This window comes from Homo sapiens, chromosome 9 (assembly GCF_000001405.40).
Source record: "Homo sapiens chromosome 9, GRCh38.p14 Primary Assembly".
Classification (NCBI taxonomy): domain Eukaryota; kingdom Metazoa; phylum Chordata; class Mammalia; order Primates; family Hominidae; genus Homo; species Homo sapiens.
Window position 1 is genome coordinate 69,201,309 of NC_000009.12, and position 22,827 is coordinate 69,224,135.

Genomic DNA, 22,827 nt, shown 5'->3' on the forward strand with positions numbered 1-22,827 from the left:
TGGTTGGAGCAGGCTGCAGTTGTTCTTACGTTCTGATGGCCATCCTCTACTGTCCCCTCCCCCTTTTCTTTGTCAGGTCTTTGCCCTGTGCTGTTCTTTGGACCCTGAACAAACCCTTCTCCCCACCCCGCTAATCCTGTCCTTTCCTTCAGACCTCATCTCGGTGTCCCTGGCTCATGGAAACCCTCCCTGGCCAACCTGCCTTGATCAGATGCTGGCTCCTGCAAAGCTTCCTGAGGGCAGTGCTTTATTTGTTTTGCTCTTCATTTGTTCCTCAGAGCACATTGCACTTGGTCGACATTTGTTGAATGAATGAGTAAAGAATTAGTGATGGCATATTTACATACCCATGTTCATGGCAGCGTTTTTCACTATAGCCAAGAGGTGAAAGTAACCCAAGTGTCTGTTGACAGATGAGTGGATAAACAAAATATGTCATATACATACAATGGAATATTATTCAGCCTTAGAAAGGGAGGAACTTCTGACATACGCCGCCACCACGTAGACGAACCTTGAGGACATTATGCTATGTGAAGTAAGCCAATCACAGGAAGACAAATCTTGTGTGAGTCCACTTATATGATGTGTCTAATGTAGTCAAATTCATAGAATCACAAAACAGAATGGTGGTTGCCAGGAGCTGAGGGGAGAGGGAAATGGGGAGTTGTTTGATAGGCATGAGTTTCAGTTTTGCAAGATGAAGAGTTCTTGAGTTCAGTATATTCTGAAGTGTGAATATACTACTGTCTTAGTCAATTCCTACTCCTGTAACTGGGAAGTTTATAAAAAACAGAAATTTATTTGCCCACAGTTTTGGCTGGGAAGTTGAAGATCAAGGCAACAGCAGATTTGGCATCTGGTGAGGGCAGCTCTCTCCTTCCAAGATGGTGTCTTGTTGCTGTATCCTTACATGACAGAAGAGGTGGAAAGCAAGGGGGTTTAGCTCAGTCCCTCCAGCCCTTTTGTAAGAGCACAAATCCCATTCATGAGGTTGGAGCCCTCTTAATCACCTCCTAAAAGCTCCTCCCCTTAACACTTACTGTATTGGGTCTTAGGTTCCAGCACATGAGTTTTGGTGGGACACATACATTCAAACCTTAGCAGGTGCTACACTGTATACCCTAGAAAAATGAGAGGTTAGGAGTGCCGACCCTCACACAGTCAAAAATCCATGTATAACTTTTGACTCCCCCAAAACTTAACTAATAGCTTGCTGTTTACCAGAAAACTTACCATAACATAAACAGTCAATGAACGCATTTTATATGCTATATGTATTATATACTGTTTTGTCACAGTAAAGTAAGCTAGGGAAGAGAAAATACATTTATTACTCACTAAGTGGAAGTGGATAGTCCTAAAGGACTTCATCCTGATTGTCTTCATGTTGAGTAGGCTGAGGAAGATGACGGTTTGGTCCTGCTGTGCCCAGGCGGCAGAGGCGGAAGAGGTGGAGGAGGTGAAGGGGAGGCAGGGGAGGCAGGCACACTCTGTATAACTTTTATTGAAAAAAACCCATGGATAAGTGGACCAGGGCAGTTCAAACCTTGCTGTTCAAGGGCCAACTGTACTTAGAAATGGTTAAGATAATAAATTTTAGGTTATATATTCTTCAGCACAATTAAAAAAAAGAATTACTGCTGCTAGAAACTATGACCTCTGGAAATCACTGTAGAAGAATCTGGAATTCTTAAATTCTAGGACACCTCTGACTTCTGGGTAGTATGCATGAACTTAAGGGAAAGAAGTATTTATTTCCTCATGAGGATAAGCTCAGGTGTTTTCCTTAGGACTGTCAGAGTGAAGGAGTGGGCTGGCCTGAACCCTCCCCGAGTTGCCTGGGTTCTCAGGCTCCTCTGCACCTGGAGCTAGTGAGCCAGCCCATGGGCTGAACCTGGCTGGTGTGTACAGAGCCTGCACATGTCTGCATAGCCTAGGTTGAGGTTTGGACACTTGCTTAGATTCCAAGGTCCTCCTTTGTACCCATTTATTTATATAATAAATAATTTATTATTATTTTTTTGAGACGGAGTTCACTCTTGTTGCCTAGGCTGGAGTGCAATGGTGGGATCTTGGCTCACTGCAGGAGAAGTGATTCTCCTGCCTCAGTCTCCTGGGTAGCTGGGGTTACAGGCACCCGCCAACATGCCCGGATTTTTTGTGTGTGTTTTTAGTAGAGACGAGGTTTCAACATGTTGGCCAGGCTGGTCTTGAACTCCTGGCCTCAGGTGATCCTCCCACCTCAGCCTCCCAAAGTGCTGGGATTATAGGCATGAGCCACGGTGCCCAGCCTGGATTTTTTTTTTTTTTTTTTTTTTTTGAGACAGGGTCTCGCTCTATGGCCCAGGCTGGAATGCAGTGGCCCGATCTCAGGTCACTGCAACCTCCGCCTCCTGGGCTCAGGTGATCCTCCTACCTCAGCCTCCCAAGTATCTGGGACTACAGGTGTGCACAACCATGCCCAGCTAATTTTTCTATTTTTAGTAGAGATGGGGTTTCACCATGTTGGCCAGGCTGGTCTTGAACTTCTGGCTCAAGCGATCTGCCCATCTCAGCCTCCCAAAGTGCTAGGATTACAGGCGTGAGTGACTGCGCCTGGCAAAGTGTAGGATTTGAAACATAAACTTGTATTCATTTTTGATCTCATTTAACTGTCATAACATGAAGAACTCAACTCTTAGGGAAGGACACACATTTCCCAGTGCCTGTCCAGCACCAGCACGAGTGCTTTGTAGAGATTGCCTCATTTCTTGCCGACATTGCCCTTCTGAAGTGTAGATGGTTTTATCGCCACTGTATAAAGAAGGGTATAGTGTATCCAACGCCCCACAGCTAAGTGACAGGACAAGGATCTCACTCCAGATCTTGTGACTTTAAAAATCACTTTCTTGGCTCTGCTTCTCCTTGTTTCCTAGATGGTGGCCATCTCATGGTCCAGATTTATATACATCTCAGCCTCAAATCAAATGGCACACTTTACATTTGCACGCTGTTTGGCCAAGCCCATTGGCATATAACATACACTATGGTAGCAAGAATTGGCCAGAGGCTCCCCAAGACCAGACTTCTGAATTCCTAACCCCAGCTCCCAAGCCCCAGGCATCCCATAAAATCTTTGCTAGATGTTCAGAAACCTAAAATTTGCTTCTCCACCCCTCCCTTCTCCCCAAGTGGTAAAGACAAAGAACAGACGGCAGGGCTCTTTGTTATTCTTTTATCTGCTAAGTTTACAAAAAGGTTAGACAGTGGAACTTTGCTGAGCAAGCATTCTGTCCCTGAGTTGTCTCTGAGCAGCACCAAATGAGTCTTATCTTCCCCTTGTTATCTCCAAGGACGTAAAACATTTTCTTTTCATGCTTTTTAATTTCTGTGTAACATTAGCCATTCAGTTGACCTGAAACATTGCTAGTTTATTTCTAGCTGGCGTGTGTGTGTGTGTATCAGAGGGTCTATACTGTATAAATACTTCTCTAAATATTCTTTTCCATAATGTTGCTCTAAAGTGTCTCATTTACTCAATTCTGTCAACTTAGATGCTGAATCATTTTATGTGCTTAAAAGAAATATCTACTCGGATGCTCTAGTTCCCTGGCAAGGGAGAGAGAGGGAGAGAAAGAAAGCTGTTGAAGTGGTGCAAATCCAAACTGCTTTCTTTTTTGCTCATAAGTAGTGCTTTTCAAAGCGTTTGGCATCCCTGCCATATGGATGTGTCACTGTGTGAGATGACAACAGGATTTGCTGGAAATGTGGGCCACTATTGTATCCGCCTTACGTAACCACATGGAGTGATGGAAATGGGTGAGCAGCCCGGAATGTAGGCGGTGGCCTGGCCCATGCATCTCCAGAGACCATGAAGACTGCTCAAGCCCTACATAGGATGTGGATCCAGGCTGTTAAAAAGTTGAGGAGATGGAAAGGCCGTGTGAGTCCCTCTGCAAGCTCTCCCCTTGTTTTCCCCAACCTTTCTTCATGGGAAGGGGAGGGAAGCAAAACCATTCTCACAGTGAGTCCTTTATCCTCAGATTGATTTGTGCTTCTGGCATCTTTCAGCAACAAATTGTGAGATTGTAGGTTGTAGTCACTGGTGGGTTTTTAAAAATACTTGTATTAATTTTAGCAGATCTATGTGAAACTGATAGCCTCTTACTGGATCTGTGGATCAAAGGCTGCTGTTTTCCATGTGCTAGGAATCTGTAATGGTTTTGCTTCCTGGGTAGAGCTTAACATACTGGCTTTTGTGTTTGTTCATGTTTGAGAATTTCTTGTTTTGGGATAAAACTTTTTGCTTTCTTACACTGCAGAAATCTATATTCTTATTATGTCTAGGCTTCTAACTTAGAAGAAAAAGTGTTTTTCACATGTTCTTTTTTCCTCTTACAGTTTGAACATGTGTGAGTGTTTACTTTGATGGCTTGAGACTTTTATGAAGCATGTCCCTTACGTGGACAGCTTGCGATTAATCTTTGGTTTTAGCTTTGACCTCCATCACTGGGCAGCAGCAGTCTGTGGATACAGAATCTAAAAGCCGCCTGTTCAGGGGGACTTTGGGCAGTGAACACTTCGGTATCTGTTTTGGGGTTGGCTTTTAACATGTTTCTACATTCTTTATGTAAAATATATAGGATTTTTACCTATCTGGCCAAGATTTTTCAAAGGAAAAAAGCTTTATAAAAAGATTAAAAAAAAACACAATAAGTAACTATTTGCCTTAGTTCCTTTCTCTTCTTTTGTCACACAAAAACCTTACTGTTAATGCATTAAGTTTTTTGTTTATGGTAGAAAAGTTAGCTCACTTTTAACTTTCCATGAGGTCTTAAGAATGACCTGTTAGATATAAAGGGGGTTGTCATGAACACTACTTACGTGAAAAGTAAAAGTGATAAGGAAAGATGATGAAAGCACATTGAAGATCCTCCTAATGGATAGAATGTTGACACTTGGATTAAAAAGGTGACTTGGCGTTTTCTGCATACACCTCCCCCCACAACTCCCCAGACCTAACCTGCGTCCCCACTCTGCCCACCGCACCTGCCTTGCTTTACCCTCTTTGCCCCTTTCAAATTACTGGTACCATCCTTCAACTCGCCCTCCTTCCAGTTGAAATTATTATCCCCTCTTCACTTTGCAAAATTCTAACTGCATTGAAAAATTTGCTGTTAAATATACTCGTACCTCTTGGGTATTAGATCCTTCACCAGGAGTCAGTATTCATTTTGGTGTTCACCCACTCATCTCCCTATTTTTTATTTATTTATTTATTTATTTAATTTTTTTATTTCTTTTTGAGACGGAGTCTTGCTCTGTTGCCCAGGCTGGAGTGCAGTGGCGCGATTTCGGCTCACTGCAAGCTCCACCTCCCGGGTTCGAGCCATTCTCCTGCCTCAGCCTCCCGAGTAGCTGGGACTACAGGTGCCTGCCACCACACCTGGCTAATTTTTTGTATTTTTAGTAGAGATGGGGTTTAACCATGTTAGTCAGTATGGTCTTGATCTCCTGACCTCGTGATCCACCCGCCTCGGCCTCCCAAAGTGCTGGGATTACAGGCGCGAGCCATCGCGCCCGGCCTCATCTCCCTATTTTTTAAACTTATGAAATGTTTGGTACCATAAAAGAATTAAATATCTAAATCATGGAGCATAATAATTAAACAAATGCCATGAGCCCATTACACATATCTGCAGACCATCACCAAGACAAAACACGAAGGAAATTTGTGTACCTCCCACCATACTCTGCCTCCTGCCCAGGTCACCTCATCCTGAATGTTATGTTTTTCATTTCCTTGCTTTTTCTTTATATTTCCACTGCATGCGTGCGTACACACACACACGCCCCTAAACAATAGATTAATTTTGTTGGCAATTTTTTACTATAGTGAAAAACGCATACCAAAATTTACTGTCTGTACCATTTGTAAATGTACAGTTCAGTAGTGTTAAGTATATTCAAGTTGTTGTAAAACATTGTTTTTTGAGCTATATAAAAATGGTATCACACTCTACAAATCCTTCTGGGGTGTTTTTTTGCTCAACTTTATGTTTGAGATGCATCCCTTTTGTGGTGGTCTATGTGACTGGTTTGTTCGTCTTCATTGCAGTAAAACATTGTATTTTAATAATGTATCAATTTGTCCATCCTGCCCTTGAGAGATACTGGGATATTTTCCAAGTTTTGGCTGTTGGGAACATTGCTGCTGTGAATACTCTATACATGTGTCCTTGTGCATTTAGTCACACGGTTCTCCCGGTGCCTCTGCCCAGGTAGAGGAATCACTGGGTCGTGGAATGTGCATACCTTTAATTCTGATATATGCGTGCTCTTTCTATGGGCCTGCCTGTAAAGCTCCCCCTGGTGCTAAGCAGCTACCTGCTGTCATTCAGAGAGAGGTCAGATATTGCTAGCAAGTCTGATCTGCGCATAGCCAAGCACAAGGTGGTGGGTGGGACCAGAGCCCGGTGGCCTAGTTTGAATGTCAGGACCACAGCTCTCAGCTAAGCTGCTGCACCCTGGCAGCCTGTGCCCAGGGATGTTCCTAGAGCTGATGTTCTGAGGAATAAGGATGATTATGTGGGGTGCTCTGTGTTTCTGAAAAATTATATAAATGAGGCAGGAAAGACACTCAGTAGTTTGCTCTTTGGGTACACTTGTAGTTAGTTGGTAAGCTGCCCAAGGGCTTTGGCGATTTTATTCACTGATGTCTCTGAAGTGCCACAAACCACTTGCTTGGCAGAAGGTGGATGCTTAATAAATGTTTTTGCATAAATGAACAAATGAGTGCACAGTGAAGAGTTTTCTGTGAGACCTTCCCAAAAAGTCACAGTTCTGTAGGCTAAATATACATAGTTATGGTGTATTTTTAATGTTCAACAGAGCTACTAAAATTTATTTTTGCTCTAGTTCCCTTCCTTTACAATTAAGATTTTCTCTTTATCACTTGGCTTAGCAGAGCATATATTCTTTGAATATTATGTTAAGTAGCTAATAGTTAATTTTATTACCCGTTAACCATAGGTAAGAAGAAGCCTCGCAATCTGATTGGTTTCAGGCACCAGGCAAGTTAATAGCAAGGTCTGATTGGTGGTGGTAGTGGTAGGAGATTAATCGTCTCTCTGACAAATTTAATTTAAATTACGCTTGCAGGCATCACAGGACACTTAAAGATGGTAGCATCCCATTATTGAAGGGCTGTGAATTTCAAAAGCCAGATTCATTCTACTTGAGCCACATTTAAAAAATAAAATTTTGCAGGAACTCATTTATTTGGCTAAATGATAAACAAATTTAAATCCAAAACTTTGAAGAGTTTATAGTTTTAAATTCCAAAATAGAAATGTATTTTAAAAGTAATGTACTCATAAAAATATTCTCTATAATAGCACAGCTCCTTGGGATATTCAACATTTTTTTGGTATGTAGCATTGCCCAATCCTGGGGATGATTGTCATAGTCCCAGTTAGTTTTTTTTCCTGATAATTTTAAAGTAAGTTTTGTGGGGAGGATGTCATGTAATTTTTTTTCCCCCTTAATTCATGGGGCTATAACTATATCCAAAGAAGAGTTGGCAAATATATTTATTTTACCACAACTTCTAGATTAATTCACTTTGTTGAAATTTGACAGCTTTAAGGTACAAGAAGGCATTGAGAAGATGAGCTTGGAGAAGTGGGCATGCTCATAAGGTCATTTCTGGGTGGTAGTGGCTTAGTTTTACTAAGGCCACATCTAAAACTGAAGTTGGCAAGGAGTTAGTAAGGTGTTCTATGGAAATGGAAAAGGGCAACCAATTCTGACTTACTGCAGGAGTTCAGTTGAGTGTCTGCTTTCTTTTTCTTTTCTTTCTTTATTTTTTTTGAGACAGAGTCTCACTCTGGAGTGCAGTGGCGCAATCTCAGCTCATTGCAACCTCCACCTCCCAGGTTCAAGTGATTCTCTTGCTTCAGCCTCCCAAGTAGCTGGGACTACAGATATGCGCCACCACGCCCGGCTAATTTTTTGTGTTTTTGGTAGAGATAGGGTTTCACCATGTTGGCCAGGCTGGTCTTGAACTCCTGGCCCCAAGTGATCCACCTGCCTTGGCCTCCCAAAGTGTTGGGATTATAGGCGTGAACCATCACGCCCGACCCGGTTTCTGCTTTCTGTTTCCATTTAAGAAAACTTTTTGGCCGGGCGTAGTGGCTCACACCTGTAATCCCAGCGCTTTGGGAGGCCGAGGTGGGCGGATCATCTAAGGTTGGGAGTTTGAGACCAGCCTGACCAGCATGGTGAAACCCTGTCTCTACTAAAAATACAAAAATTAGCTGGGTGTGGTGGCGCATGCCTGTAATCCCAACTACTCGGGAGGCTGAGGCAGGAGAATCGCTAGAACCCAGGAGGCGGAGGTTGCAGTGAGCCCAGATCGTGCCATTGCACTCCAGCCTGGGCTGGAGCAAAACTCCATCTCAAAAAAAAAAAACAAAAAAACTTTTTAACAAATATGTACAACTTCATTAAAATATTGGAAAATTTATTGTGCTTCCACATATTGGAAAATGCTGTTTTAGACACATGCAGAATTCCAGAGAGGTATGGCTATAGAGCACATCTAGAAAGTCAGACCATGAGCACCTGAGTTTTTAGTTCACCCACCTCACGTATGCTATCAAAGAAGCAGAGAGCCACGAATTTGATACAAACTTTCTTTAAGAAAATTTGTAGGCTGGGCACGGTGTCTCACACCTGTAATCCCGGCATTTTGGGAGGCTAAGGCAGGCGGACCATTTGAGGTCAGGAGTTTGAGATGAGCCTGGCCAACATGGTGAAACCGTGTCTCTACCAAAAATACAAAAAAATGAGCTGGGTGTGGTGGCGCACAACTGTAATCCCAGCTACTCGGGAGGCTGAGGTATGCGAATCACTTGAACCCAGGAGGCAGAGGTTGCAGTGAACCTAGATCACACCCCTGCATTCCAGCCTGGGTGACAGAGTGAGACCCCGTCCCCCCCCCCCCCCAAAAAAAAAAAAAGTAGCAGCAGTCAGTGCTTCAGTTATATTAATTGAATGATGAATGAATAGTGTATCCATCTCTAGATGTATTAAAAAGAAAAAACTTTGAGTGCCTACTCTGTGTGCCAGACACTGTTGTAGCAGATAATGGGACAAAGATGAGTAGGATACAAAAATTTCACCTGAAAATTCACTTTTATTTTTTAAAATTGAAGAACAGTCGTCACAGTGAACAGACTTTAAGTAATTGGGGAGTTTTACATAATTTAGATAATAATCTTTTGGAATGTTTACATATTTCCTTGTGTTGATGGGCCTTCATTTAATCTAAATCTTGCACTTTTGGGCTGCTTGCGTCCCTGGCACCCCAGGCCCCATTCACCACCCAGTCCCAGGATTGCTGGTAGCACAGATCTCTTCTTCTGGCCTTTTTCAGGTATTTTGAGTTCTTTTTTTTTTTTTTTTTTTTTCTTATTAAATATACAGATGGGGTCTCACTATGTTGCTCAGGTTGGTCGTAAACTCCTGCACTCAACTGATCACCCCGCCTCAGCCTCCTGAGTAGCTGGGACTATGGCATGTGCCACCATGCCTGGCTAACTTTAAAAATTTTTTGTAGAGATGGGGTCTCACTATGTTGCACAGGCTGCCCTTGAACTCCTAGGCTCAAGCGATCCTCTCGCTTCAGCCTGAGTGCTGGAAATACAGACGTGAGCCACTGCACCCAGCCCTCTTCTAATTTCTTAAAACATAAACACATAGTCCGGGTGGCTTGGTGGCTCATGCCTGTAATCCCAGCACTTTGGGAGGCCGAGGCAGGTGGATCACAAGGTCAGGAGTTTGAGACCAGCCTGATCAACATGGTGAAGCCCCATCTCTACTAAAATACAAAAATTAGCCGGGCGTGGTAGTGCGCACCTGTAATCCTAGCTACCCAGGAGACTGAGTCAGGAGAATCGCTTGAACCTGGGAGGCGGAGGTTGCAGTGAGTGAAGATCACGCCACTGTACTCCAGCCTGGGCGACAGAACGAGACTCCGTCTCAAACAAAACAAAACAAAACAAAAAACCAACATATACACATATTATAGATACTCCATTTTTGTCTGTGGCTGGTATTTCAAATATTTAAAGTCTTTGATTCTTCAGTTTATGTTTCTTTTACCTCTCACTCATGGTGATGTGCATGTTTAAATTGTGGGCTCATTTCCTTGGATACATACTATCTGGGGAATCTTTGAGGGCTGTGTTTGAGTGTGATCTCTGGAGAGGATTCGCATCTGCCTCTGTGTACTTGGTGGTATGGCCAGTGCAGAGCCCCAGTAGGCATGAGTGTTTGGCAGGGTGTGGTCACGTCTGTAATATGAACGCCCAAACCTGTGTGAATACAGGTCTGTTGATAGAAATTCTCCAGGGTTTTATTTTTAGTTATTTCCACTCTACCCATAGCCAAGGATGAGACAGTCACTGCATCTCCATCTGTGTGCTGGTATTTTTTTCCCCTAATAGATCCACCCAGACCTGATCTCCCACCCTGTTTGGATCCCCAGCCTCCTCTAAATGCCTGCTTCAGTGCTGGCTTATCTCTGTGGTTCTGAGTGTTCTTGGCATTTCTAGCTTTCTCACAGGCAGCCTGCATTTAATGGATTATTATTTTTAAAATGATACCACCAGTTGTAGTTTTTTCTGGATACCTACTTTGGAATATTGTCAGAGATGGAAGTCCCAGTGGTCTATTTATGAAGACATTCATCTTTCATACTCAGTGATACAGATGGAGAAAAAGCCGAAAGATCCCGCAGATCACCCAATTGGGCATACCCTATGATAAGGCTAAGGATATTTTTAGACATAAACATGCAGAAAACTTGCCTACGAGGTCACCTTTGACAGGAAGAGGGGGAGAATGATTTTAAAAAAAGAATCTATTTGAAACTAGATATTTTTAAAGGGGTTTTATGATGATAATGTTTTGGAATAGTGATAATAAAAGGACTCAGCACTTAACATTCCATTCTTTTTAGGGTCTGTCTCTCACTATGTATTTCACTTACCTTTCAAGTATTGTTTCTAGTTTCATTTCATTGAAGGAGAGTGTGTTTGAAAATAGGTAGCATAATGAACAGATATTAACTCTTTTTTGGTATAGAAAGTGTGAGCTGGACTTTATGTCGAGGCATTTTGAATGATAATTTTATTTCTAGCATTGAAAAGGTTGTGGTTTTCATCAGATTGGTTTTGTTCTTTTAAAACAGGCCCCAGGCATGGAAGAGCTGATATGGGAACAGTACACTGTGACCCTACAAAAGGTGAGTTCTGCACATTTCATATATTCTACAGTCATGTTCTTGATTTTACGGATCATGGATCTTATTTATTTTCACCTACACACAGTTTTGGCTTTTTTTTTCCCTTGAGGTACATAATGTATTATAGATACTAACTGGCAATAATTGCTATGTTAACAAAGATTTGCATGCTATTGTATTTTTTGATTAAGGACTGTTTAGTATGGAACATTTTAGAGGTTATTTAGTGTATACTCTTATCTCCAGCTAGAACAGGTTATGAAAGAGAGAAAAGAAAGGGAAGAATGAAAATGACCTGTACTGTTTAAGGATGTGGAGGGAGCTTTTTACAACTTCTGTAATTTTAATTATGACATATTATACATACCTTATAACTCTTAAAAAGTGTAGCATCCAAGAGACTGTAAGTCATTTGTGTGAGGCTGAGCTGGAGAACTGCACTCGTGGTTCTGCATTTTTTTTTTTTTTTTTTTTTTTTTGAGACGGAATTGCACTCTTGTCGCCCAGGCTGGAGTACGGTGGTGCAATTTCGGCTCAGCGCAACCTCCGCCTCCCGGGTTCAAGCAATTTTCCTGCCTCAGCCTCCCAAGTAGCTGGGATTACAGGCGCCTATCACCACGCCCGGCTAATTTTGTATTTTTAATAGAGACGGGGTTTCTCCATGTTGGTCAGGCTGGTCTCGAACTCCTGACCTCAGGTGATCCACCCACCTTGGCCCGCAAAGTGCTGGGTTGCAGGCGTGAGCCACCGTGCCCAGACGGTTCCGCATTTTTATTCCGTCAAGCTGCCTTCCGGTCATCATCACTGTGATTTTCCTGGTTTTTCTGCAGGGTTTCTTCTTCTGGCTCTGAATTCCTCCAAGGTCTGACATCTCCTAGAGGGACCATAAGTTCCTCATAGGAAGAGTTTTCCTTTGACCCTCAGAACTGTGAGCTTCAAGCTTTGTCTTCTATGAAAATTAAAGACATTCCCGAATTTAATGTTTGTTGAATTAATCCAGGTAGAAAAAAATGTCTCTGGGCCAGTGCCCAGGTACCCAGACTTCCAGATCAGTAATCACAATTTCCTCATTTGAGGGGTTTTGTCTGCTTAGGTCTTATTTTTCAACTTTCCTCGTCTTTCTGACTCTCCTCTGCCCTTTCCCTGAGCATTTCATGCATTCCTTGAGTTGTGGACCCAAAATTGGCAGAGGTCAGAGATTTTTTTAGGCTTGGCATAGAGGATGGAGCTGCCTCTGTCTAAAACCAGGTGCCGGCTGGTGGTGCTGCCAAATTCAAAGCCATGTGATTAATAGACAACACCCCCAACCTGTTTTGAGTTTGTAATTGTGTATAATCAGTCAGCATAGTGGGCCTCACGTGGGAAACTTTCCTTGGAAAGGAAGATTTTCTTTTAGTCTCGGAGTAAATTTTTATATAATCGAACCCAGATTTAAGAATATACAGTCAAATATACTCATATTATCTGGATGAAACTGGGCTTAGATACATATATATATTTTTGAAATGGAGTCTCATTCAGTTGCCCAGGCTGGAGTGTAATTGCATGATCTCAGCTCACTGCAACCTTCACCTCCTAGGTTCAAGTGATTTTCCTGCTCCAGCCTCCTAAGTAGCTGGGATTACAGGGGTGTGCCACCACACCTGGCTAATTTTTGTATTTTTAGTAGAGATGGGGTTTTGCCATGTTGGCCAGGCTGATCTCGAACTCCTGGACTCAAGCAATTCACCCGCCTTGGCCTCCCGAAGTGCTGGGATTACAGGTGTGAGCCACCGCACCTGGCCCAGACTTAGCTTTTTAAAACACAAATGAATTAGGATTATGTATTATCTATGCTCACCATTGTGCATTGCTAGACTGATCATGGATGTAATAAATCTTATTTCCGATCTTCCATGCATGAAGAAAAGGGTTTAGTGCTTTGCTTTTCATGAGATCTCAACACATATTTTACGTTCAAATTTTATCTTTAAAATCCAGTTACGGGCCGGGCGCAGTAGCTCACGCCTGTAATCCCCACACTTTGGGAGGCAGAGACAGGTGGATCACAAGGTCAGGAGATCGAGACCATCCTGGCCAACATGGTGAAACCCTCCCTGTCTCTCTACTAAAAATACAAAAATTAGCTGGGTGTGGTGGCACATGCCTGTAGTCCCAGCTACTCAGGAGGCTGAGGCAGGAGAATCACTTGAACCTAGGAGGCAGGGGTTGCAGTGAGCCAGCACCACTGCACTCCAGCCTGGCAACAGAGCAAGACTCCATCTCAAAAAAAAAAAAAACAAACAAATCCATTTACTTCTTTTTCACTGTATGTTGAAATGAAACTACCAACACATCTACTTTGAAGTTAAAGGTATACTTTAAAAATATAATTTTAGGCAGACATAAGAAAGAACGAAATATGTCCTTTGCAGCAACACGAATGTACCTGGAGGCCATTATCCTAAGCAAATTAATGCTGAAACAGAAAACCAAATACTGCATGTTCTCACTTAGAAGTGGGAGCTAAACATTGGGTACACACAGACACAAGGACAGGAACAGTAAACACTGGGAATTCCAAAAGTACGGAGGGAGGGAGAGGAGCAAAGTTTGAAAAACTACTTCTTGGGTACTGTGTTCGGTACTTGAGTGACAGGATCATTAGAAGCCCAAACCTCAGCATCAGACAATACACATATATAACAAACCTGCACATGTACTCCTGAATCTAAAATAAAAATAAAATTAAAAAGGATTGGCTAGCACTGGGAAGAGCAGTCTTTTCCCGCCCAGCTAGAAAGTTGTGGTTTTTTTTTTTTGTTTTTTAGAGACTTCTCCATTTGCCCAATTTAAAGTGCAAAAGCTGCCTTGGCTTGTTGAAGCCTTGACCTCACAGGCTCAGGTGATTCTCCCACCTCAGCCTCCCAAGTATCTGGGACTATGGATGTGCACCACCATGACCAGCTATTTTTTTCTATTTCTAGTAAAGACAGGGTTTTGCCATGTTGTCCAGGCTGGTCTTGAGCTGCTGGACTCAAGCAATCTGCCTGCATTGGCCTCCCAAAGTGCTGGGATTATAGACATGAGCCATGAGCCTAGGCAGAAGGTTTTTTTTTTTTTAATATGTCAAAACATCACAATATACAGAAGAATTAAAAATATTTACAGTACAGGCCAGGCACAATGGCTGTCTGTTGTAATCCCAGTGCTTTGGGAGGTTGAGACAGGAGGCTCATTTGAGCCCAGAAATTTGAGGCTGTAGTGAGTAGTGATCACACCGCTGCACTCCAGCCTAGCAACAGATCAAAACTCTGTCTCTTAAAAAACAAATACAATAAGGAAATCTGAAAATTAAAAAATACAGTTTTAGTACAGGTTCAGTTTTTACTGAAGTTGTTCCAGCTCGGGCCAGCATGATGCAAAGAGGTACAACTGGTGCTTCAAACAGTACGTCCCTATTTGGACTGAAGACATTGTTTCCTATCCCGGCCAGCTTCTAGTGATAACTCCAGTCTGCACTATCAATCTTTTCCAGCCTCTACAGGCTGTTTCTTTCAGATAAGGAATTTCCCTTTATAAACCTGTCAGCTGACAATGACTATGCTTTGTTTTGTTTCTCATTTGTTTCTGTAAGCCCATCTGTTCCTGAACAGTCTCTGGTTATTGATTTGACCTTTATTTTATTGAGTGCTTGTAATAAATCCTGAAAGCCACTTATTGAAGGATTTTTAATATTTCTCCTCTCTGATGTACAGGATTCCAAAAGAGGATTTGGAATTGCAGTGTCCGGAGGCAGAGACAACCCCCACTTTGAAAATGGAGAAACGTCAATTGTCATTTCTGATGTGCTCCCGGGTGGGCCTGCTGATGGGCTGCTCCAGTGAGTGTCCTCCCTCGCTCCGCAGCCCCTACCAGCCCTACTGGTTGGCCCTAGACGGGGTATTTTGGTTGGTGTCCACTTTATTTAAAAAAAAGAAAAAAATAACAAACTTTTATATAATATTTGAAAAGTCTTCAAGCTGGAATGGAAGCCATAACACACCATGTTTGAATAATGCCCAAACCTTGGGAACACCCCAGCTTTGGAGCGAGGAGGGCAGTTGTTTCCGTAAGAAGATAGTTCCAAACATCCCTCCTAGGTTTAGGAATCATTTCTGAACATGGAGTTTTAAATTGGCATGCTTCTCAACCCCGATGCTTAACCAACACTGTTTATGTTTGTTTTAATTTATATTCTTTAAGAATTTAATGAGGAGACTTTGGTTTATTGATTATCTTATTTGTAAGAGTGATGTGGAAGTTGGGACAATTTACTATAGGAAAACCACAAGTTTTCCAACTGCCAGCTTTCTGACCTGAAGAAGTAACACCATTTTATTTTAATTTTTAATAAATTTTTTCTTTTCTTTTTTTTTTTTTTTTTCAGACAGAGTCTTGCTCTGTCACCCAGTCTGGATTGCAGTGGTGCGATCTCAGCTCACTGCAACCATCACCTTCCGAGTTCAAGCAATTCTCTTCTGCCTCAGCCACCTGAGTAGCTGGGATTACAGGTGCCTGCCACCACTCCCAGCTAATTTTTGTATTTTTAGTAGAGACGGGTTTTCGCCATGTTGGCTAGGCTGGTGTCAAACTCCTGACCTGAAGTGATCTGCCCACCTCGGCCTCCCAAAGTGCTGGGATTACAGGCATGAGCCACCATACCCAGCTGGTAACACCATTTTACATGATACATGCCTGATTCCCACAGGATAACTTCTCAGGACGAAGTCTAAAGTTAACTGTATGGCTGCATTGGATAAATAGCTCAAAAGTTTAGGTTTTGTTGGTGTTTAAAGCCTCTGTGAACTAAGCACAGTGGCTCACGCCTATAATCCTGCACTTTGGGAGGCTGAGGTGGCAGGAACGCTTGAGGCCAGGTGTTCAAGATCAGCCTGGGCAACCTAGTGAGACCCTGTTGGGATGGCATGTACCTACTCGGGTCCCAGCTACTTGGGAGGCTAAGGTGAGAGAATCCTTTGAGCTCGGGAAGTTGAGGTTGCGGTGAGCTATCATCAGTCACACTACTGCAGTCCTTCCTGGGTGAGAGAGGGAAACCATGCCTCTTAAAAAATAAAATTATAGTTAAGAAAGTCTCTATAGTTTTATCAAAGTTAGTAGTCTTTCATATGGAGAAATGCAAAATTTTAAAGTAATATTTGGGATGAACTGGAACAATAGGATTCTGTGATCTCAAAATTTCTTAAGAATCCAAGGCAAGCCCTTTTCCTGCACAAAAGCACAAATGGATATACACCTACTTGGAAGGAGTGTTTTTAGACTTTTCTGAAGCCCACCGTGCACCTCAGGCAATAGGGGACTGATAGAGAAATTCCTTTTGTGTCCAGACCTCACCGTCATCAAGTACCTCCTGGTGTGATGCTGTGGTTTGGGGAGATCAGGCCTCTCTCTTCCCAGATGATTTCCATTTAGACACTCAGAATTGAGCTGTATGGCCCCCAGTTCCTTTCTTTGGAAGATCTCAGGCCAAGTTGACTGGGCCTTGGGCGCCACTAGACACTGAGCCCTTTAGAAAGCCTTTCAGGTCTATTTGCTGCTTCTATTTGTTCCTAAATAAATAATTTACAATGAATAGATGGGAGTTTTTCATGACCCATTTTTATTTCTTGTTTACAGAGAAAATGACAGAGTGGTCATGGTCAATGGCACCCCCATGGAGGATGTGCTTCATTCGTTTGCAGTTCAGCAGCTCAGAAAAAGTGGGAAGGTCGCTGCTATTGTAAGTACTGGGTTTGCTTTCAGCTTGCCTTAATAGCATTTTGGTTTTTTGCCCAGAAGAAAATTACCCCTTGCTTTTAAGCATTTGACAGAATTACATAACCTAGGGACCGCTGTTCTTGGATCCTCAGTACTTTTGGAGGGGTGTGAAGATATGTGTAAGTTATCTTCCTACTTTTCCTTGTGTCTTCTCCTGAGGCCAGTGATTCTCTGATCTGAGTTAGTTTGCCTTAGGAACCAAGTTAGGCAATTATTCCCTAAGAGAATTAGCTAGATTCAGAATACTGGTAAAATAGTATTAATTTAGAAAAAAACTTTCAGCTCAAAAACTCACTTGTAAAGGCCCAAGCAAGGTATATTATATCTTCATAGACTAAGAGTTTCATTAGAAGACTGTCTATAATCTTCATTCATCTATTCCTTCATTCATTCACTGGCTGAGAATCAACTGTGAGCTGGATGCCATTAGGCCCTGGGGCCAATCTGTGTTGCAAGATGTGTTCACTCCAGTGGGGCAGGTAGACACACACAGTGAGAATGGTAATAAAGTGTGCTTAGGGGCAATGCTAGTAGGCATATACCCACATATATGGTTGTGTGTGTGTGTGTGTATTTTTTTTTTTTTTTTGAGACAGAGTTTTGCTCTTGTTGCCCAGGCTGGAGTGCAATGGCACGATCTTGGCTGACCACAATCTCCGCCTCCTGGGTTCAAGCGATTCTCCTGCCTCAGCCTCCCGAGTAGCTGGGATTACAGGCATGCACCACCACACCTGTCTAATTTTGTATTTTTAGTAGAGACGGGGTTTCACCATGTTGGTCAGGCTGGTCCCGAACTCCCAACTTCAGGTGATCCGCCAGCCTTGGCCTCCCAAAGTGCTGGGATTACAGGCGTGAGCCACCTCACCCGGCCACATATATGGTATTTAATGTTTTTCAACTTTATATTATGAAGATTTTCAAAGAAAAAGGAAAGTTGAAAGATCAGTGTAATAAACATTTATCTTCTAAAATATTACTATTCTGCCATCTTTACTTGGTCTCTGTATGTATATAAACACTCATGTCTTTCTGGGCAACCATGCGAAGGAAAGTTACAGACATGACAGTTCATTTCTACTTACTTCACATGCATTTCCTATGAATGAGGACATTCATCTATATAATACTATTATCCGATCTAAGAAAAGTAATAATTTTACAGTATTATCTAAAATCCAGTCCATATCTCAAGATGTCTTTTTCATTTTTAGAGATGGGATCTTGTTGTGTTTCCCAGGCTGATCTTGATCTCCTGGGTTCAAGCGATCCTTCCACCTCAGCCTCCCAAGGTGCTGGGATTACAGGTGTGAGCCACCATACGCAGCTCTCAAAATGTCTTTGATATATGTTTTCTTCCCTATCCAGGATCCAAAGTTCACTCATTGCATTTAATCATTATCTCTTTAGTTCCTTTTAATCTAGAAGGGTTCCTCTTTCCCCTTGCCCCTCTACCCCACCCCCCACTTTAAAAATGGCATTGGGCCAGGTTCAGTGGTTCACGCCAGCACTTTGGGAGATGGAGGCAGGCAGATCACCTGAGGTCAGGAGTTCGAGACCAGCCTGGCCAACATGGTGAAACCCCGTCTCTACTAAAAATACAAAAATTAGCCAGGCATGGTGGTGTGCGCCTGTAATCCCAGCTATCGGGAGGGTGAGGCACGAGAATCGCTTGAACCTGGGAGGCGGAGGTTGCAGTGAGCTGAGTACAGTCCAGCCTGGGCAACAGAGCGAGACTTTGTCTTAATAATAAATTAAATAAATAAATAAATAAGGCATTGACTTTTCTTCCTTAAAATTTTAAAAATTTATGCATAATGCATAGTTATAGGGTATGTGTGATTAATTTAATACATTAATATGATTTGTAAAATTCAGATGAGATTGGGCACGTTCAGGATGGTATGGCTGTAGACATGATTTGTAAAATTCAAATCAGTGTATTTGGAATATCCATCACCTTAAATAATTGTCTTTTCTTTATGGTAGAAACGTTCAGATTATTTTCTTCCAGCTATTTTGGAATGTACAGTAGATTCCTGTAAGCTGTAGTCACCCTACCGATCTAACATTAGGTCTTATTTCTTCTATCAGACCATATATTTGTACCCATCAATCAACTTCTCTTTATCCGCCTTTGCCCCCTTGGCAGCTATGTATAGAATGTCACACTTTCTGGATTTTTGTTTTTTGAGTTTTATAACTTAGTGATTTGGGCCTCTGAGACTTTTCAAACTTGAGTAGAAGCAGATTTTGGAGATACTATTTTATTATTACCTTAATTCAAGGCCCTGTACTCAGAGCTTCACGGTCATTGTCCTATTCTAACCCTGTGAGATTTTTATTGTCCGTTTCCGGATGAGGAACCTGAACCTTAGTGAGTCGGCAGGGATACGGTTTTCCTGAAACCAGAACCAGGGCTCTTAACCACTGCCTTCTCCACATTCAGTTGTGATTGTCCTGCGTCCACACTGAGTTTGTTTTGACAACAGGTGGTCAAGAGGCCCCGGAAGGTCCAGGTGGCCGCACTTCAGGCCAGCCCTCCCCTGGATCAGGATGACCGGGCTTTTGAGGTGATGGACGAGTTTGATGGCAGAAGTTTCCGGAGTGGCTACAGCGAGAGGAGCCGGCTGAACAGCCATGGGGGGCGCAGCCGCAGCTGGGAGGACAGCCCGGAAAGGGGGCGTCCCCATGAGCGGGCCCGGAGCCGGGAGCGGGACCTCAGCCGGGACCGGAGCCGTGGCCGGAGCCTGGAGCGGGGCCTGGACCAAGACCATGCGCGCACCCGAGACCGCAGCCGTGGCCGGAGCCTGGAGCGGGGCCTGGACCACGACTTTGGGCCATCCCGGGACCGGGACCGTGACCGCAGCCGCGGCCGGAGCATTGACCAGGACTACGAGCGAGCCTATCACCGGGCCTACGACCCAGACTACGAGCGGGCCTACAGCCCGGAGTACAGGCGCGGGGCCCGCCACGATGCCCGCTCTCGGGGACCCCGAAGCCGCAGCCGCGAGCACCCGCACTCACGGAGCCCCAGCCCCGAGCCTAGGGGGCGGCCGGGGCCCATCGGGGTCCTCCTGATGAAAAGCAGAGCGAACGAAGGTAGGCATGCTTGATGTGGGAAGAAAAGCACTGTTGTGATATGAATAACCTTTGTTTTCTTAATTTTTTTTTTTCCCCCGAAAGTGTTGCTCTGTCATCCAGGCTGGAGGGAAGTGGCGTGATCTCGGCTCACTGCAACCTCCACCTCCCGGGTTCAAGTGATTCTCCTGCCTCAGCCTCCTGAGTAGCTGGGTCTACAGGCACCCGCCACCACGCCCAGCTAATTTTATGTTTTTAGTGGAGACAGGTTTCAACATGTTGGCCAGGCTGGACTTGAACTCCTGACTTGAGGTGATCCGTCCACCTGAATCTCTCACAGTGCTGGGATTACAGGCATGAGCCACCACGCCTGGCCAGGAATAGCTACTTTTTTTTTTTTTTTTTTTGAGACGGAGTCTTGAGTCTTGTTCTGTTGCCCAGGCTGGAGTGCAGTGGCGTAATCTGGGCTCACTGCAACCTCCGCCTCCCAGGTTCAAGCAGTTTTCCTGCCTCAGCCTCCCTAGTAGCTGGGATCACAGGCGTGCACCACCATGCCTGGCTGATTTTTTTATTTTTAGTAGAGACGGGGTTTCACCGTGTTGGCCAGGCTGGTCTTGAACTTCTGACCTCAGGTGATCTGCCCACTGCAGCCTCCCAAAGTGCTGGGATTATAGGCATGAGCCACTGCACCTGGCCAGCTAACTTTTTTTTTTTTTTGAGACAGAGTCTCACTGTGTCACCCTGGCTGGAGAGTGCAGTGGCATGATCTCGGCTCACTGCAACCTCTGCCTCCTGGGTTCAAGTGATTCTCCTGCCTCAGTCTCCGAAGTAGGTGGGATTATAGGTGCCTGCCACCACGCCCGGCTAATTTTTGTATTTTCAGTAGAGACAGGTTGGCCAGGCTGGTCTCAAACTCCTGACCTCAGGTGATCTGCCCACCTTGGCCTCCCAAAGTGCTGGGATTACAGGTGTGAGCCACCGCATCTGGCCGAGCTATCTCTTAATTGCACTTAACCAGCATTGTACCCAGCATTGACCTAAATGCCTAACACCAATTCGTTCGTTTAATCCTCAGAACTACCTCATGAGGGAGGACTCTTGTTTCTCCATTTTATAGACAAGGAAACTGAGGCACAAAAGGTTCATTGATATACACAAAGTTGTGTCATCATTGGAAGAGCCAGGCTTCAGAATTTTGGCTTTAAACTAGGAGACCAGTGGTTCTCAAAGCAGTGCATCACCTGGGCACCCCTTAGAAATGCAGACTCTCAGGCCCAACCCAGTCCCACCAGCTCAGAAACCATGGGGTGGAGCCGGGTGCAGTGGCTCACACCTGTAATCCCAGCACTATGGGAGGCCGAGGTGGGCGGATGACTTGAGGTCAGGAGTTGGAGACCAGCCTGGCCAACATGATGAAACCCCATCTCTACTAAAAATGCAAAAATTAGGTGGGCGTGGTGGTGGGTGCCTGTAATCCCCACTTCTCTGGAGGCTGAGGCAGGAGAATAGCTTGAACCCCAAGGGGCAGAGGTTGCAGTAGCAGAGATCATGTCACTGCACTCCAGCCTGGGTGACAGAGCGAGACTCTGTCTTGAAAAAAAAAAAAAAAAAAAAAAGAAACCATGGGGTGGGCCCTCAGAGTCTCTATGTTAATAAGCTCTCCTAGTGGCCTTGCTGCATCTCAAGTGGAAAACCACAGTGGAGGACAGTACTCCGCCTAATCATTGTTGAGTTTCTGCTCTATGCAAGGGCTATGTTGAATATTCTTTTACGTAGTCCTCACAAGAACCTTGTGTGTTAGGAGGCTTCGTTTCTGTTTTGTTTTGTTTTGTTTTGTTTTGTTTTGTTTTGAGACGGAGTCTCGCTCTTTCGCCCAGGGTGGAGTGCAGTGGCGCGATCTCGGCTCACTGCAGGCTCCATCTCCCGGGTTCACACCATTCTCCTGCCTCAGCCTCCCAAGTAGCTGGGACTGTAGGCGCCCGCCACCACACCCGGCTAATTTTTTGTGTTTTAAGTAGAGACGGGGTTTCACCGTGTTAGCCAGGATGGTCTCGATCTCCTGACCTCATGATCCGCCCACCTCAGCCTCCCGAAGTGCTGGGATTACAGGCGTGAGCCCCCATGCTTGGCCAATGAGTGCATTTTTTAAGAGGATTGAGGAATTGTTGAAAAATGCCAGAGAGATGTTATCACTCAAGCTTGTCTCACTCAGCCTTCTGTTCTGGGCTGTGAGGCTGTTTGACCACTAGGGGCTCGCCATCCATGAAAGTAGCTTTGCCCTTCCCTTATTCCATTCTTGACTATCAGCTTCCTAAAGGACTAGGGCATGGGCCACAACACTTCTAATCTTTGTGGTAAGATCTGGCTGACAAGTTTACCGTAAATCATTTAAAACTTATTTTAAAATTGACTTCATACCTTTCCTGAATTGTGGAAAGTTACTTTGTTTTGTAATTATAAGATTTTTAGTTTGAACAATAATAAAAAATTTTGTGCCTGTTTTAAAACCTGCTCTGTTGTGGTAGTTTCCTAAAATGTGAACAGTTATTCTTAAAATAATGTATTTTTACAAGTTTATTAAGTAAAACCAGAAGAGTCTTAAGTAGCATTGAAAGTATTTAAAAATATGCATAACTTAGTAATTACAATGTTTTTGTTTT

The 22,827-nt window shown here is 43.7% G+C and overlaps 1 protein-coding gene across 20 annotated transcripts in view, besides 1 other annotated feature; it reads left to right on the forward strand.

Moving 5' to 3' along the window:
- TJP2 (tight junction protein 2) overlaps window positions 1-22,827 on the forward strand; it is a 133,945-nt gene that overhangs the window by 80,045 nt on the left and 31,073 nt on the right. For 15 of the 20 annotated variants that reach the window (XM_011519206.3, XM_011519208.3, NM_001170414.2 and 12 more), the window contains 4 exons: window positions 11,240-11,293; window positions 15,031-15,155; window positions 16,949-17,051; window positions 19,579-20,188. In XM_011519206.3, the coding sequence (XP_011517508.1) occupies window positions 11,249-11,293; window positions 15,031-15,155; window positions 16,949-17,051; window positions 19,579-20,188 (883 nt within the window). In that variant the 5' untranslated portion in view covers window positions 11,240-11,248. Of the gene's footprint in view, window positions 1-3,702; window positions 4,007-11,050; window positions 11,139-11,239; window positions 11,294-15,030; window positions 15,156-16,948; window positions 17,052-19,578; window positions 20,189-22,827 lie in introns of those variants that run through there. The other 5 variants (NM_001369875.1, NM_001369874.1, NM_001170415.1 and 2 more) reach the window with 4 other exon arrangements.
- Window positions 3,165-3,459: a silencer, noted in NCBI's record as "tiled region #4978; HepG2 Repressive non-DNase unmatched - State 14:Gen5'". NCBI's record gives its function as "represses a minimal TATA promoter and a strong SV40 promoter by Sharpr-MPRA in HepG2 cells {active_cell/tissue: HepG2}" and the evidence as "EXISTENCE:reporter gene assay evidence [ECO:0000049][PMID:27701403]".